At 44.2% G+C, this 14,336-nt stretch overlaps 1 protein-coding gene across 3 annotated transcripts in view, besides 2 other annotated features; it reads right to left on the bottom strand.

Annotated features, from left to right (window-relative positions):
- The window catches only part of SPATA13 (spermatogenesis associated 13), a 327,268-nt gene that overhangs the window by 54,945 nt on the left and 257,987 nt on the right, over window positions 1–14,336 (bottom strand). For all 3 annotated transcript variants that reach the window (NM_001286792.2, NM_001166271.3, NM_153023.4), the window contains 2 exons: window positions 2,283–2,648; window positions 263–407 (listed from right to left, as the gene is read on the bottom strand). In NM_001286792.2, the coding sequence (NP_001273721.1) occupies window positions 263–407; window positions 2,283–2,648 (511 nt within the window). The remainder of the gene's footprint in view (window positions 1–262; window positions 408–2,282; window positions 2,649–14,336) is intronic.
- Window positions 263–397: an enhancer, noted in NCBI's record as "conserved acetylation island sequence 9". NCBI's record gives its function as "activates a minimal heat-shock promoter by reporter assays in Jurkat T cells {active_cell/tissue: Jurkat}" and the evidence as "EXISTENCE:reporter gene assay evidence [ECO:0000049][PMID:17135569]".
- Window positions 3,729–4,228: an enhancer, noted in NCBI's record as "H3K27ac hESC enhancer chr13:24822035-24822534 (GRCh37/hg19 assembly coordinates)". NCBI's record gives its function as "activates a minimal SCP1, AML or CMV promoter by ChIP-STARR-seq in naive and primed H9 embryonic stem cells {active_cell/tissue: H9 hESC(naive and primed)}" and the evidence as "EXISTENCE:reporter gene assay evidence [ECO:0000049][PMID:30033119]".

The raw sequence follows: 14,336 nt of genomic DNA, 5'->3' as shown, positions 1-14,336 counted from the left end.
TCCACATGCAGGAATGTATGTACACGGACACCACAGGAGGGGCAAACTTCTCAAACTTAGAGCCACCAGCCTGGCACACAGAGCATCTACCCCAGACAGCAAATGATGCACCATTCTCCTGAGATGAGCCGTCCTCACTCCCAGACAAACGCGCCCTGGCCCAAGGGAGGCGCGAAGGTGCAGAACCTGCTGCCTCAGGTTAGCTGGAAACGGTCAGATGGGCCCATAGCAGCTCTGAAAGGAAAGGGACTCTGAGACTCACCGTTGGATGCTCTCATCTGCCGCCGGCGTCCCACACGGTCCAACCCAATGGGGGTGCTCTGGGAGAATGTGAAGGGCCGGAACCGGGCCGACACAGCCTTGTAGGGTGGCACCTGGTGAGCAGGCATGGGCGGCCTGGAAGCCGGCTGCAAAAAGAAAGCAAAATCTGTGAGGAGGTACCAGGAAGTGGCAGCTCTTGCAAGCACCTCACACGCATAGCGCTCTCACCTCGAAGCCACTCACAGACGTGAAATGGTTTCTCCAATCCTGCCACGAGTTGCAGGCTGCACCGAAGCCCAGTGGCAACTCATGATGCTACAGTTTTTAACAATCCTGATCAGCTTACTGGCCCGCACCCTGCAGCCTCATGTTTCATCTCACTTGTCTGCAACATGCCAATAGGTCACACTAAGGAAAAAGAAGCTTCTGAGAAGATGAAGGCACATTTAGGAAGCAGTGGAGTTGTCACACAGATGCAGGGTCACAAGGGTAAGAAGATGCTTTCCCAGGGGTGGCCTCTGGAGGAAGCCAGGACAAGGCCACAAACCCGGCCAGGGTGGCCATCTGTGATCCTCACATCCTTCTTCAGCCTCATTTACTCCTCCCCACCGACACAGAGCCTGGCATAGATGAGCCCTCAGTAAGGATTTGTGGAGCTGAAGGCAAGCCTTGCTTACCCAAACTCACACGGCAGTGGAGCTTTAGTTGAAAGAAGTGGTTTTCCATGTAGTTGCCCAGGTCTCTCTTATAATGCCCTTCTGGTTTTCTATAATAGCGATCCCTAAAACTATTAATCAAAGGCCCAGTTGCTTTATACGTTCCTTAGATTTCTTTTTTTCTTCTTTTGTTTATTACATGCATATCCTGCTTATGTAATTCCTTAGGTTTTCTTACAATTTTCCCACTCAATTCCCTACATTAGGTTATAGTACAGAAAATTACTTCGCACATTCCTTTTGGCTGCTCTGAAGTGAAACCCTTTCTAAGGCTGTGGAGCATCCTGGACTATTGTTCTGAGTTAAAATGCGTGACAATTTGCTTCAGTACAGAATCATTTCCCAACAGCGGAGCACCTTCAGACAAAAGGTTCTTAACATTTTCATGATATTCTGCAACTTAATTTTTTAACCTTAAGAAATCAATTCAATTTATTTAAGCAAGAGTTTTTGAGTGCTTGTTATAGACAAGGCATTGTGTGGGGCTTTACAGGAAAAATGTAGACGTATACAATCCAGTACTAGTACTCCATAGGAGTTCCCTTTTAAGATAATTTTATGGGTTACTTACGACATCAGCTACCAGGTTTTAAAAATGAAAGTGGGCATATATATTACTCATATATTGTTCTGTGAATGTTTACCATGGCCAAGGTATTAGCCTCCACAAATAAGTATACACTTCTCCAAGATAGGGTCTTTAATTAAATGTTTTGTATTTTCAAAGTGCTCACTGGATACCCGGATAAATATTTGTTGAATTACTAAACTATACTAAGAAACCAGTACTAAGTGTTTAATCCATTGTCAAACTATTAATAGTTGCAAAGTTGCAACTCAAAAAAAAAATAAGAAAATGGTGGAAAACAAAATACTTTCTCATCTCCTAAAAAACTATTTCTTCTTTACATTTTATTTATTTCTTCTTTACATTTTATCTTTACATTTTAACAATGAACAATACTGTCTTTTTCAACAATTACTTCTTTCAGGAGTCTTACTAAATATGCCCTGCTACCTTTCCCTGGTTAGAATCTCAGGTTATTCAGAAACAAACAGCAAATGAGTCTCATGTATTATTTGAGATCCCAGGAAAGAAAGATTAGCAAAAGGCATCCAAACGTCAGGTGGTTAGTTTGAATTCATGCATGTTTTCACACAGTCAGGAAGAAAAGGTGGTTAAGTACATGGTGCCGCCCTTGAGAACGGGAGAGAAAAAGCAGATCCAGTTTAGTGTGCAGACAGAATAGAGGCAGGAAGCTGGAGGGCCTCTGCTGGCTTGGGGAAGTGCACACCAGATCTTACTTGGGTCAGAAGATTGTCCAGTTCCTCCGTCTGGTTGGTCCCATACAAGCTGACCCCACCTATCACGGAAATGGGGCGCCTTCTCCGGGCTCCTTTGGGGCAGCCCACTGGAGCATTCTGGTCTTCAGGGCTGGCAGAAGTCATGCTTGCCTGGGGGTCCTCGTCCACACGGTCTTCCTTCTGGGGGTCTGCAGCAACCGAGTCTTCAGGAATAGACAAACTGCGGCTGGCCAGCTGGCCGTAGTCAGAGAATGGCCGAGGCCTTGGCCGTCTCCCAGAGCCCCATCTCCTCTTGGGGGTTCTCTGTGCCTCTGTCCTTTCCTCATCCTGTGATGAGCTTCGCCTCCAGGGGCCATCAGGGACGACCTTTCAAATGCGAACAGGTCAGGTGAGCTCAATATCCAGGAAGGTATTAAAGAAAGAACAAGCCATACATTCCCTCTCACCACCACAGCCGTGCCTCGGGTTTTCTTGATTTACTTGTTTATTAAAACAGTTATTTGTGTACTAGAACATGAAGACACAACCAAACCTTAATCAAAATAACCAAATCTATTCTTATAGGCTGATTCAATAGGCTGATTCTAGGCTGATATTTCAATAACCATAATTGAAATAGTGGTTTGGTGACCAATGATGAGCTATGATAAAAGGCATTAAGAAAATCAGCACTGGCCGGATGCGGTGGCTCATGCCTGTAATCCTAGCACTCTGGGAGGCCGAGGCAGGCAGATCACTTGAGGTCAGGAGTTCAAGACCAGCCTGGGCAACATGCAGAAACCCCATCTCTACCAAAAATATAAAAATTAGCGGGGCGCGGTGGCGCGTGTCTGTAGTCCCACCTACTTGGGAGGCTGAGACAGGAGAATTGCTTGATCCTGGGAGGCAAAAGTTGCAGTTGCACCACCACACTCCAGCCTGGGTGAAAGAGCACGGCTCTTTCTCAAAAAAAAAAAAAAGAAAATCAGCACCATCGTGAATTAGTAAAATGAACTTTATAACTATCATAGGTGTCCCCCAAAGACCTGCCAGGAGAAGAAATGAATGGGTAATGCCATCCACTGCTGTTCTACCCACTTCTTTCAATAACGTGCACTACTTAAAAATAGAAGGTGCTTTAAGAGGACTAAGTCCAGGGCTGTCAGGACCCAACACTCGAGCAGCCTCTGGCTCCCACCAACAGCCTCCAGGCAGCAGTCTGATGGGGCGAGCACTGAACGAGGATTCAAAGAACTAGACTAGGCTACTCACTAGTGGTGTGAGCTGGGACAAGTCACAACTGACCTTTCTGGATCTCAGATTTTGGACTGGACAATCCCACAGCTCAAGAGTCTATGATCCTAAATGAGGCATCACCTTCTAATTTTTTCAGATAATTTTTCAGAGGCAACACAATGTACCAGAAAAGCACATGATGCTGGGAATCGAGCAGACATGTTCAGTCACTGTGTCTGGCCCAAGACCTAGTGCAATCTCAGGCAAGTCACCTAACTTCTGTGATCTGGCTCTGCAGCCATTCCCTGGGAAACAGCAGGTCCTTAGAAGGATGAGACGCAACAATGGTGAGACAGCTCTTATGGCAGGAGTTCTTTGCTGCTCTGAAAAAGCTGGGCCATGGAGTAACCATTCCCAGGGATCAGGCCTGATGAGAGAGCAGTTGTCTGAGCAGACCCCTCAAAGCCTGGCCAGAGAGGAGGGCTGCGTCAGAGACCTGCAGGAGTGGAGGCCTGTAAGCCCTGCCTGCATGCCCTCCGTCTTCCACCCCTGAACCTTACCTACAGATATAAACAAAAAGGGCTGTCAGTCAGGCCATGGGCCCAGGGAGGACAACCAGAACCACCAGAGAAGGCAGACTATGACTGCAGGAGTCCCTGGGAGCTCACAGAGCTTGTGCCGCAGCCCACCGGCTCCCTCCTTGAGAAACCAAAATGGTGGCTGGTAGAGGCAAAGGAGGCACACCTCCAGCCAGTGACAAGAGACCCCGGGCCCCAGGCTCGCCATTTCCAGCCTGAGGGTCTGAATGCTCACTGAGGCCACGTGCCATGAAGAAGTGGATGCAGAGCCCGGGCGGGTGGCTCACGTCCGTAATCCCAGCACTTTGGGAGGCCAAGATGGGCAGATCACTTGAGATCAGGAGTTTGAGACCAGCTGGCCAACATGGTGAAACCCTGTCTCTACTAAAATACAAAAAAATTAGCCAGGTGTGGTGACAGGTGCCTGTAATCCCAGCTACTTGGGGGGCTGAGGCGGCAGGAGAGTCACTTGAACACGGGAGGTGGAAGTTGCAGTGGGCTGAAATTGCACCACTGCACTCCAGCCCGGGTGACAGAAGGAGACTCTGTCTCAAAAAAAAAAAAAAAAAAAGTGAATGTGGAGCAAAGAGCACAGTGTGGGGTTTATAGATACTTTACTCCAACCACTCATTTTTCAAATCAGGAAAACTGGGACCTAAAGAAGTGACGTGACTTGCCCAGGGCCACACAGTTAATCAGTGGCAACAAAGACACAAAACAATGGGCTTCGTGAGTTCTTTTCCAAAAGTTTTCCTGCAATGCCACGTCACCTCTGCTCAAAAGACAATCCCGTGCAGGTTCCAGCAACTTCCCCTTTGCTGCTGTCCACAGATCCCTCCTGCTGGGCTGCCACCTTTAATTCTCTCTCCACTGACGGCACCCAGAATAGCATACAAATGATTTTGAGCTGAAGGCTTTAGAGAGTGACCTCTGTTATCTGCCTAAAAGCAGAGCCTCTCAAAAGAACTGAACTGTCACAAATCCCCTCCTGGGAGTTGCCTGCTACCAGGGTAAAGAGGGGAATCCACACCCAAACAGACACTGTCACAAAACTCACGTATTTTCCTGAAAGCCTATTTATCTTTCCTAAAAGTCACTTGTTTTCCCTTAAGTTCTCTTCTCCCGGCCTAGTAAGATGCCACATACTGCTTAAATTCTAACCACCTCCTTGAGTCACTTTTTTTTTTTGAGATGGAGTCGTACTCTGTCACCAGGCTGGAGTGCAGTGGTGTGATCTCGGCTCACCGCAACCTCCACCTCCCAGGTTCAAGTGATTATCCTGTCTCAGCCTCTTGAGTAGCTGGGATTACAGGCACCTACCACCACGCCCAGCTAATTTAGATATACATTTTTTAGCAGAGACACGGTTTCACCATGTTGGCCAGAATGGTCTCGAACTCCTGACCTCATGATCCACCCACTGCAGCTTCCCAAAGTGCTGGGATTACAGGCGTGAGCCACCACACCCGGCCTGAGTCACATTTTTCTATGAACTCTGTCTCTCACACACAGAGACACGCACAAACGCAGGCATGTGAATAAACATGTCTTTTCTTTTGCTAATCTGTCTTCTGTCAATTTAATTCACAGGCCTTAAAATTCACAGGACTTAAGAACAGAGTCAAAGAGTGTAGAGGAAACGTTTTTTTCCTCCCCAACACCACTACAGGAAAATATGAGAGAAATCATGAAAAGGTTAATATTATTTTCTCTATTACACATGAAAAACAAAGATAGTTTAAATTACCGAATCAAATGGCACAGACAACTTAAGTACATAGTGAGAATAAACCCAATTACATTATTGCCCTGTAATAAAAAGGTTCAGGAACAACACGCTAGAAAAACAGAAGTACAAGAAGACCACAGGCAGGGAACTGTCCACCTGCTCACAAATGGACGTGCAGCCCTTTGTTCTGTTCTATTTTTAGTTAGTTTTTTGGGGTCTGGTTTGTTTTGGTTTTACACTTACGTGACACGCACCCTGCCTTTTCTCAGTAATGCCAAAAGTAAGGAACTACTCCAGGCAGTGACAGATGCTGGGTACAGGCAGGTGAGCTCCAAGCAGGTCAGTAGACAGCAGCGGGCAGGACTCGGGATCATTCTTTTAATACATCATGCCTCAGAGTCAGCACAGTAGAGCACACAAAACCAACTGTTGGCCGGAGCACAGTGGTTCACACCGCTAATCCCAGCACTTTGGGAGGCTCAGGCAGGAGGATTGCTTGAGCCCAGGAATTCAAGACCAGCGTGGGCAACACAGTGAAACTTCATCTAAAAATAAATAAATAATAGCAGGGCACGGTTTTATGTGCCTGTCGTCCCAGCTACTTGGGAGGCCGAGGCAGGAGGATTGCTTGAGCCTAGGAGGTGGAGGCTGCAGTGAGCCATGATTGCACTACTGCAATCCAGCCTGGGCAACAAAGCAAGACCTGTTGTCTAAAAAAAAAAAAAAAAAAAAAAAAGAAACAACTGTAATTCTACGTTCAGTATTTATACAGTTCCAATGAAGATATAAAAGGAGAAAACATTCCCTCTAAAAGGTACCACATATTCTAAAAATAGCAAAACTTAGTTACAGTATAATATACAAAATTGAAATGTCCATTTTACTCCCAGCAAAAGTACAAAGAGAAGGATAGAGGAAAACTCTCAGATTTAAGCTCACATTCAAACATTGATTATTCGCCAAAAGACGGTTAAATTCCTTATGAAACAAATTTGAACTTTGATGGATATTCTAAAATGGAATCTTTTTTTTTTTTTAAGCAAAGTTTATGTACTTCTGAAATACCACCCAGGTTCATTCCAGGGAATGTAGTTTGGTTGCGATTCTACTTGGAACTGTAGACACACATGTCCCATCAAACAACCTTCTCAAACAAGTGAGAGCCTAACTCAGACTCCGGCGTGGGCTGCCGGGGCCCACGGATGCACCAAAGAAACATGCAGCTGGGCATAGCCATGTCCTCTAAAGAGTCTTTCTTGACTTTAAAACACCATCATAGAGACCTGCCCTCTCCCACGGCCATGCCAGAGCTCTGCCCTAGTCCAAACAATCCAGCCAGAGCTCTATCAGCTCCAAAATGGGCAATTCAGACCCAAGTCATAAACCTCTGTAAACAGACTTTTCAGTGGAATTGCTGCCCTTTTAACTCTTGCTTCTCTGCATATATTTTATTTTATTTATTTATTTTGCGACAGTCTCACTCTGTTGCCCAGGCAGTGGTACAATCACAGCTCACTGCAGCCTCCACCTCCTGGGCTCAGGTGATCCTCCCGTGTCAGCTTCCCAGGAAGCTGGGACTACAGGTGCATACCACCACACCAGCTAATTTATTTATTTTTTGTACAGCCAGGGATTCACCACATTGCCCAGGCTGGTCTCAAACTCCTGGGCTCAAGCAATTCACCTGCCTTGGCTGAGATTACAAAGGGCTCAGATTACAGGTGTGAACCACAGTGCCTGGCCACTCCGCATACATTTTAAAGTGCTTTGCTTAGTATTAAATGTTTTCTTCCTATAAGATTTCATATTTTACTCTGCAAAAGTAAAAAGCCAATATAGGCTATGTTACCTCCAGTGAGACATTTTAAAATGTTTTCTGAAACCACAGTGAAAGCAAACTATTAACCAGAGGAAAAATGAAAGATTCAGACAAAATAACTTGATTTCTCTTATATCCATTCAGAGGCCTAACCTAAAGGAAGTATAGTCAAATAGCAAGTGTCCCAGTACCTGTGAGATTTTATTTAGAGATTAGATCTTTGCAGATATAATAAAGTTAAAATGAGGTCAACCTGGGTTAGGTGGGCCGTAATCCAGTGGCTGGTGTCCTTATGATGCAGAGGGAAATTTGGACACAGACAAACACGAAAGGGAGGAAGTCATGGGAGGACAGAGGCAGAGACTGGAGTGATGCATCCACAGGCCAAGGGCACCAAGGAAGGCCAGTTGCCACTGCAAGCTGGAAGAGGCTAAGAAGCCCCCTTCGCACCTTGGAGTGATTGTGGACTTGGCAACACTTTGATCTCAAACTTCTGGCCTCCAGAATGGTGAGAGAACAGATGTCCACTGTTTTAAGCCACCTAGTTTGTGGTGATTTGTTACAGCAACCCTGGGAAACTCATACAGCAAGGTAATTCAGAAGAAAATTAAAGCATAGGGACTCTGGGCATACCAAAAGTTTTTTGAAGATGTATATAAATACAATAAGCTAACCCCCCAGTTTTCTCCTAGGGTACCAACATCCTGGCTACCAAAAGAATTCACATACAGGGGTCAAGGTGAGAAGGAATACACCTTGGCAGTTGATGCCACAGAGGACTGCAATGAAAACTGCAATTTTTGAATGCCTACGAGGTGCCAGACCTATGCCAGGCACATTTTACCTTGCTTAATCTTCACAGCCACCCTGTGAGACAGGTACTCTTCACAGAATTTTACTGATTAAGACACCAGGGCTAAAATAAATGAAATGATTTGCTCACGTTAATAGAGCCAGAAAAGGGAAGGGCCTATTTCACAACCCAGTCTGTCTGGCTTCAAAACCTCTGCCTCTCCTCTGGAAAGCCTGCATACTTAGCATGTACTTTTACAGAAGGAAAACAGAACTTTGCAGATGTTCCTTCCCTTAGATGTAGAACTGCTGGAGGGAGGGGACAGGGAATGACAGTTATCAGAGGCTCTGGTAACCTGTGCCCTGGGCAATCTGGTAAAACCTACAGACCCCAGAATCATATGTTCACATGCATAAAAGAAAATGAGAGAGGACTGTAAAGTAAGATGATTTAAAAGAGCCGTAACGTAGTAACATATGTCACATATCAATTAAGAGGATGAGTGTGAGGTATTGATTCTGAAGTATGGATGAGTGACGTGAATATATTTCAAGACATCAGAAAAACCCATTGTATAATGTGAAAAAGGTCTGTAATCAGACAATATCACAAATATCTAAAACTCCCGGGTTAGATAACAACACTTAACAGTATCCTAGGGTATCAGTCTTGTGCTTCAATTCTTAAAAAATGAAATTTTAGGCCTTACAACTTAAGAAGTCAAAAAAGTAGCATCTCACTATCCCAGAACTATATCTCATTACCCAATGTCCCTTAAATGAAAATTAATGTGTCATAACCAAAAATACCCTGCATAGGCCTGTTTTTATGTGTTACAACTATCTGTCCTAGGATTTTAAGTGGGTGAGGGGAACGCATAGGATCCCAGATGAATGACCATATTTTGAGGAGTTGAAAGCAGGAACAAGGAAATATTTACATATGCAGAAAGAGATAAGTTTGAGCCTTAATGACATTTTTTCTTGTGGGAGGGGGTGGTATTTTTAACGCCAAAGGAATAACATGTTACATTCACTTACAAATCTTAGATTTTCAAATTGCTTTCCCATCTAACTATAATTATATTTTCAAAGAAGCAAAGAAGACGTAATTACCCCCATTTTACGATGAGAAGACAATGGATTTACTGAAAGATAAGAGCAAGCGAGATAGTTAAGACACTTTAATTTCATCTTTGGAAGGCCAGCACTAGACATGACCCCTCCATTTATAGCAGTAGGTAAGAAAGATGCAAAATGGCTTTATAGGTTATAGCAAAAACCCTTGGCAGCAATTGATACTGCTCCCCAAAAAGCCTCCATGAGCTTATCACACACGCAGTCTGCACTGCTGGCTTCTGCTCTATGTATTTCTCTGGGCTATTTCTCCATTCATCCATGTGTGTGTAGACATAGTCATGCGCATGCATCCGGCTTGGACTCTTCTGTGTTGGTTCCTCCCACAGCCCTCACCTTCACCTCTCTCCAATGTTCTCTTCCTCTCTCTCTCCTTGCCTAGGCCCTCTTCCCCTAACTGGCCGTCTATGGAACCAAGTGTCGATTTTGTTTCATGGAGTAAATTCATATTTGGTTTCTTATCCTTAATTTTTACAACAATTAGGTGGAATAATCTTTCTTTTCTTTTTTCATTTTTTTTTTTGAGACAGTCTCACTCTGTCATTCAGATTGAAGTAAGTAGCGCGATCTGTGCTCACTGCAGCCTTGAACTCCCAGGCTCAAGTGACCCTCCCACCTTGGCTTCCTGAGTAGCTGAGACTACAGGCATGCACCATCAGGTCCAGCTAATTTTTAAATTTTCTGTAGAGATAGGGGTCTCACTATGTTGCTCAGGCTAGTCTCAAACTCCTGGGCTCAGGCAGTCCTCCCGCCTCGGCCTCTCAAAGTGCTGGGATTACAGGAGTGAGCTGCCATGCCTGGCCTGGTGGAATAATCTTTCTGTCTAAAGCTGCCTTTTGCTTTCATAGCCCTCAATGGGGTGTGTGTGTTGCAAGGGAGGTGAATTATCCCGGCACGCGGGGAGGTGCCCCATAAACGGGGCCAACCACCAGGTGGGCTTCCTGGTCCTCCACTCCCTGGCTCTTTCCACCTGTCCAGGCATCACTCCGTGCATCACTTAGGCAAGCTGAGGAACAACCACTGTGAGGGGAGGGGCTCCTATAAAAGCCCGTTACCCATGCAAAGTGGAGGACAGGAGGGATGGCCTCTGACCCAGTTCAAAACTAAGTAAATGGCAAAACACTCTGCGTTTCGCTGAGTAATGCCGTCTCACAAATGCGCCTGTTCAAGATGGCTCTGCTGCACCCCTCACAGTTTCTGCTACTTTAGGGACCATCTTGGGAAGGGGCAGACAGGGTCATTAAGTTGTCCCTTCTTTTCTCAGGCCTGGCTCTTAGGACAGGGCCTGGGCCAGAAACAGACCAGGCACAATACTGGAAGTAGAAACATCATTTACTGGGTTACTCTTTCTATGGCTTGTAGGTAAAAATAAATAATAACTCTGGGCTACACTCTTACAAATGTGCTGCATTTTTTACTAGGATCTTAGGTTTTAACCTGTAAGAATCTTCAGTGGTTGGTGGAATTCTGACAGCAAATGAAGCACAAGTGACTAAGCTAACCTTTTCTAATTACTACGGAATGGGGTGACATGCATGTCAGTAATCGTGACATCATTTTTAAAGAGTCTCCAAAAAACAAAAAAAGAAGCAACTATCATAACCCAGAAAACTGTGGCCTTGTCCCTTGGATTCAGGAAGCAGTTTGGTCATTTGTTAAACATTTTAAAACAATGAATGTTTATCTCCCTTGAAGTAGGAGAGGAGCATGGTGGTGATATTAGATACAATTGTCCTTGAATGTGTTACGTGGATGATAAAAGATGCGAAAAACACAGCTGGTGACCCTATGGCCTTGTATGTAACCTGTTTTATAGACTGATATGGTAGTTCATTTAAAAATGCAAATATACTGAAGTTCATGGAGAACACTTACTTTAATACTATTAGCCCAGTTCCATGAGCATAAAAACACTAGTACTTCAGAAAAATGTAATCACTAGTGAAGTCTTAGAATACAAGATGGAGAAATCAGTGTAGCTGAGCTCTTCTTCAGTTTAAAAAAAGGAATGAACTCCGCATGACGGTGACAAACTCCATCCCAGCCCGTGACCATGTCCTGTGCCCCTCACCTCACCTGCCTCCCTCACATCATAGACACGTGTCACCACCGTGACCCCAAAACCAACACTCCCAGGCTAATAGGTTTTTCCCCCTTAGCCTTCATGATAATTGTTCAAGGGGGTTCCGTTTTCTAGGCTCAAGAAAAACATCCAGACCATCCTGCCATCTCAAAATCAATAGTAACACGACACTGAGATTGACATCCAGGTAGAGAAAACAAAATTGGTAGGTTGTAATTTTTTTTTTTTTTAAAGACAGGTTCTCACTCTGTCATCAGGCTGCAGTGCAGTGGTGCAATCACGGCTCATTGCAGCCTCAACCTTCAGGGTTCAAGTGATCCTTCTGCTTGGCTAATTTTTGTATTTTTAGCAGGGACAGGGTTTTGCCATGTTGGCCAGGCTGGTCTTGAGCTCCTGAGCTCAAGGGATCCACCTGCTTCAGACTCCCAAAATGCTGAGATTACAGGCGTGAGCCACCACACCCGGTCGTAGGTTGCAATTTTATGCCTGGACTAATTAAGAGTAAAGAGACAGTTTAAAGTCATCATATTATGAAATAAATGCACATAATGACCACATCTTAAAACATGTTTCATCTCTGAAACACATGCTAAAGAATATAGAGGTCTACTTTCAAACTTATTATTTTCAATGAGTGAAAAAACATGATTTTATAAAAATGAACTTACTTTCCTCTTTGGAAATTAAACTTATTGATTGAGGAGAACTTAATATTTCAAAAGTGATAACCATATTTTAGCTCTGAATATGTTAGCAACCTGCTTTCTCTATTTTTTTTTTTTTTTTTTTTTTTTTTAGATATGGTCTCTATCCGACACCCAGGCTGGAGTGCAGTGACGAAATCTCGGCTCACTGCAGCCTCCACCTCCTAGGCTCAGGTGATTCTCCTACCTCAGCCTCCCAAGTAGCTGGGACTAGAGGTGCACACCACCACGCCTGGCTAATTTGTCTAGTTTTAGCAGAGACAGAGTTTCGCCATGTTGCCCAAGCTGGTCTTAAACTCCTGGGTTCAAGGGATCCACCCGCCTCAGCATCCCAAAGTGTTAGGATTACAGGTGTGAGCCACCATACCCAGACTGTTGTTTATCTTTCTTTACATTTTCATACTCTCCTGTCCCTGGCCTCCATCCCACAATGTAAATAAACTTACTTTCAACTTTTGAAATTAGTGATAGAGGACCACTAAGTATTTCAAAATCAGTGACCACGTTTCAGATAAGGAAGTCAGCCATCCCGTCCCTATTTCCTCCATCATCTCCTGAAATCCTACGCCATTCTACAAACAAAATAATTGCAATTTCCCTTCCCCCATGATCAACAATCCTATTCTGAAAGTGTTTTACTTAGTCTCAGATACATGAGGAACAAGGTAATGGGTCCTTGCCAACAATAAGCTTCTATACTTTTATTAATTACACATGATTGTATCACACCTGCTTTAAACTCCTAAAGGTCCAGGGCCTCCCTGAGCAGGTAAACATCCACCTCTGATGTGCTGTGCACCACAGACACTCGGGCCACATGGACTGCCCGCACAGGAGCCATCACAAAGGAAAGGCAAGATCGCAAGGAGCACCCGTAGTGCTTCTTTTTTATTTTCACTGAGGAATACAAGAATCTAATGTGTTCTGCTGCCAAATATTTCCAGTAGGTTTAACTCAAAACTTGGCAGTTAAAGAATTACAGATGAAAAATTTATATCACAAAGAGTAAAAGTACAAAGCCAAATGTACAAGGTATTCTCACTGTGAGTAAACGTGAAAAACATATACATTAAGGAGTGAGGCTGTAATCCTTTGCCTGGTCACAAACTGTATGCAAGACTTCAGCCGCCTGTCCCCTACCTGTGGCACTGACCTACTAAACATGGCACCGCTCTGGCCCTGGAGTCACCCTGGAGTCCAAGGTGGCTTTCTTTCCTGTGTCACCCAGTGAATTCCCAAAACAAATGGCCAGAAAAGGGACTGAAGCACCTTAGCAGAACTAGCCCATCCCAACCAGCCAAAACATTCCCACCTAAAACATCAAGGAGAGGCCGGGGGCAGTGGCTCACGCCTGTAATCCCAGCACTCTGGGAGGCCGAGATGGGTGAATCACTTGAGGTCAGGAGTTTGAGACCAGCCTGGCCAACATGGCAAAACCCTGTCCCTACTAAAAATATAAAAATTAGCCGGGCATGGTGGTGCACACTTGTAATCCCAGCTGCTTGAGAGGCTGAGGCACAAGAATCGCTTGAACCCGGGAGGCGAAGACTGCAGTGAGCCGAGATTATGCCACTGCACTCCAGTCTGGGAGACAGAGCAAGAGTCTGGGAGATAGAGCAAGAGTCTGTCTCAAAAAAAAAAAAAAAAAAAAAAGTCAAGAAGAACTGGTTTGGGCTGGAAAGTGGAATGCAAATTTATCAACCATGATACCAGCATTTGAAACATGCCCTTAACCTACAGCACATCACTTAATTTTGTGTGTGTGGTAAAATATATATATTTATATATATATATTATACATGTTTATATATTGCATATTTAAACATGTATGTTTATATATTGCATATTTAAACATGTATGTTTATATATTGCATATTTAAACATGTATGTTTATATATTATAAATGATATATATTATATAATATATGTGATATATTTTATATATACATATATAATGTCTACTACTTTGACTACTTTTTAAAATTTATAAGATGGGGT

The sequence above is a fragment of the Homo sapiens genome, chromosome 13, assembly GCF_000001405.40.
Source record: "Homo sapiens chromosome 13, GRCh38.p14 Primary Assembly".
NCBI lineage: Eukaryota > Metazoa > Chordata > Mammalia > Primates > Hominidae > Homo > Homo sapiens.
The sequence above is the reverse complement of the archived record's forward strand: the minus strand, read 5'-3'. Positions and strand labels throughout refer to the sequence as shown.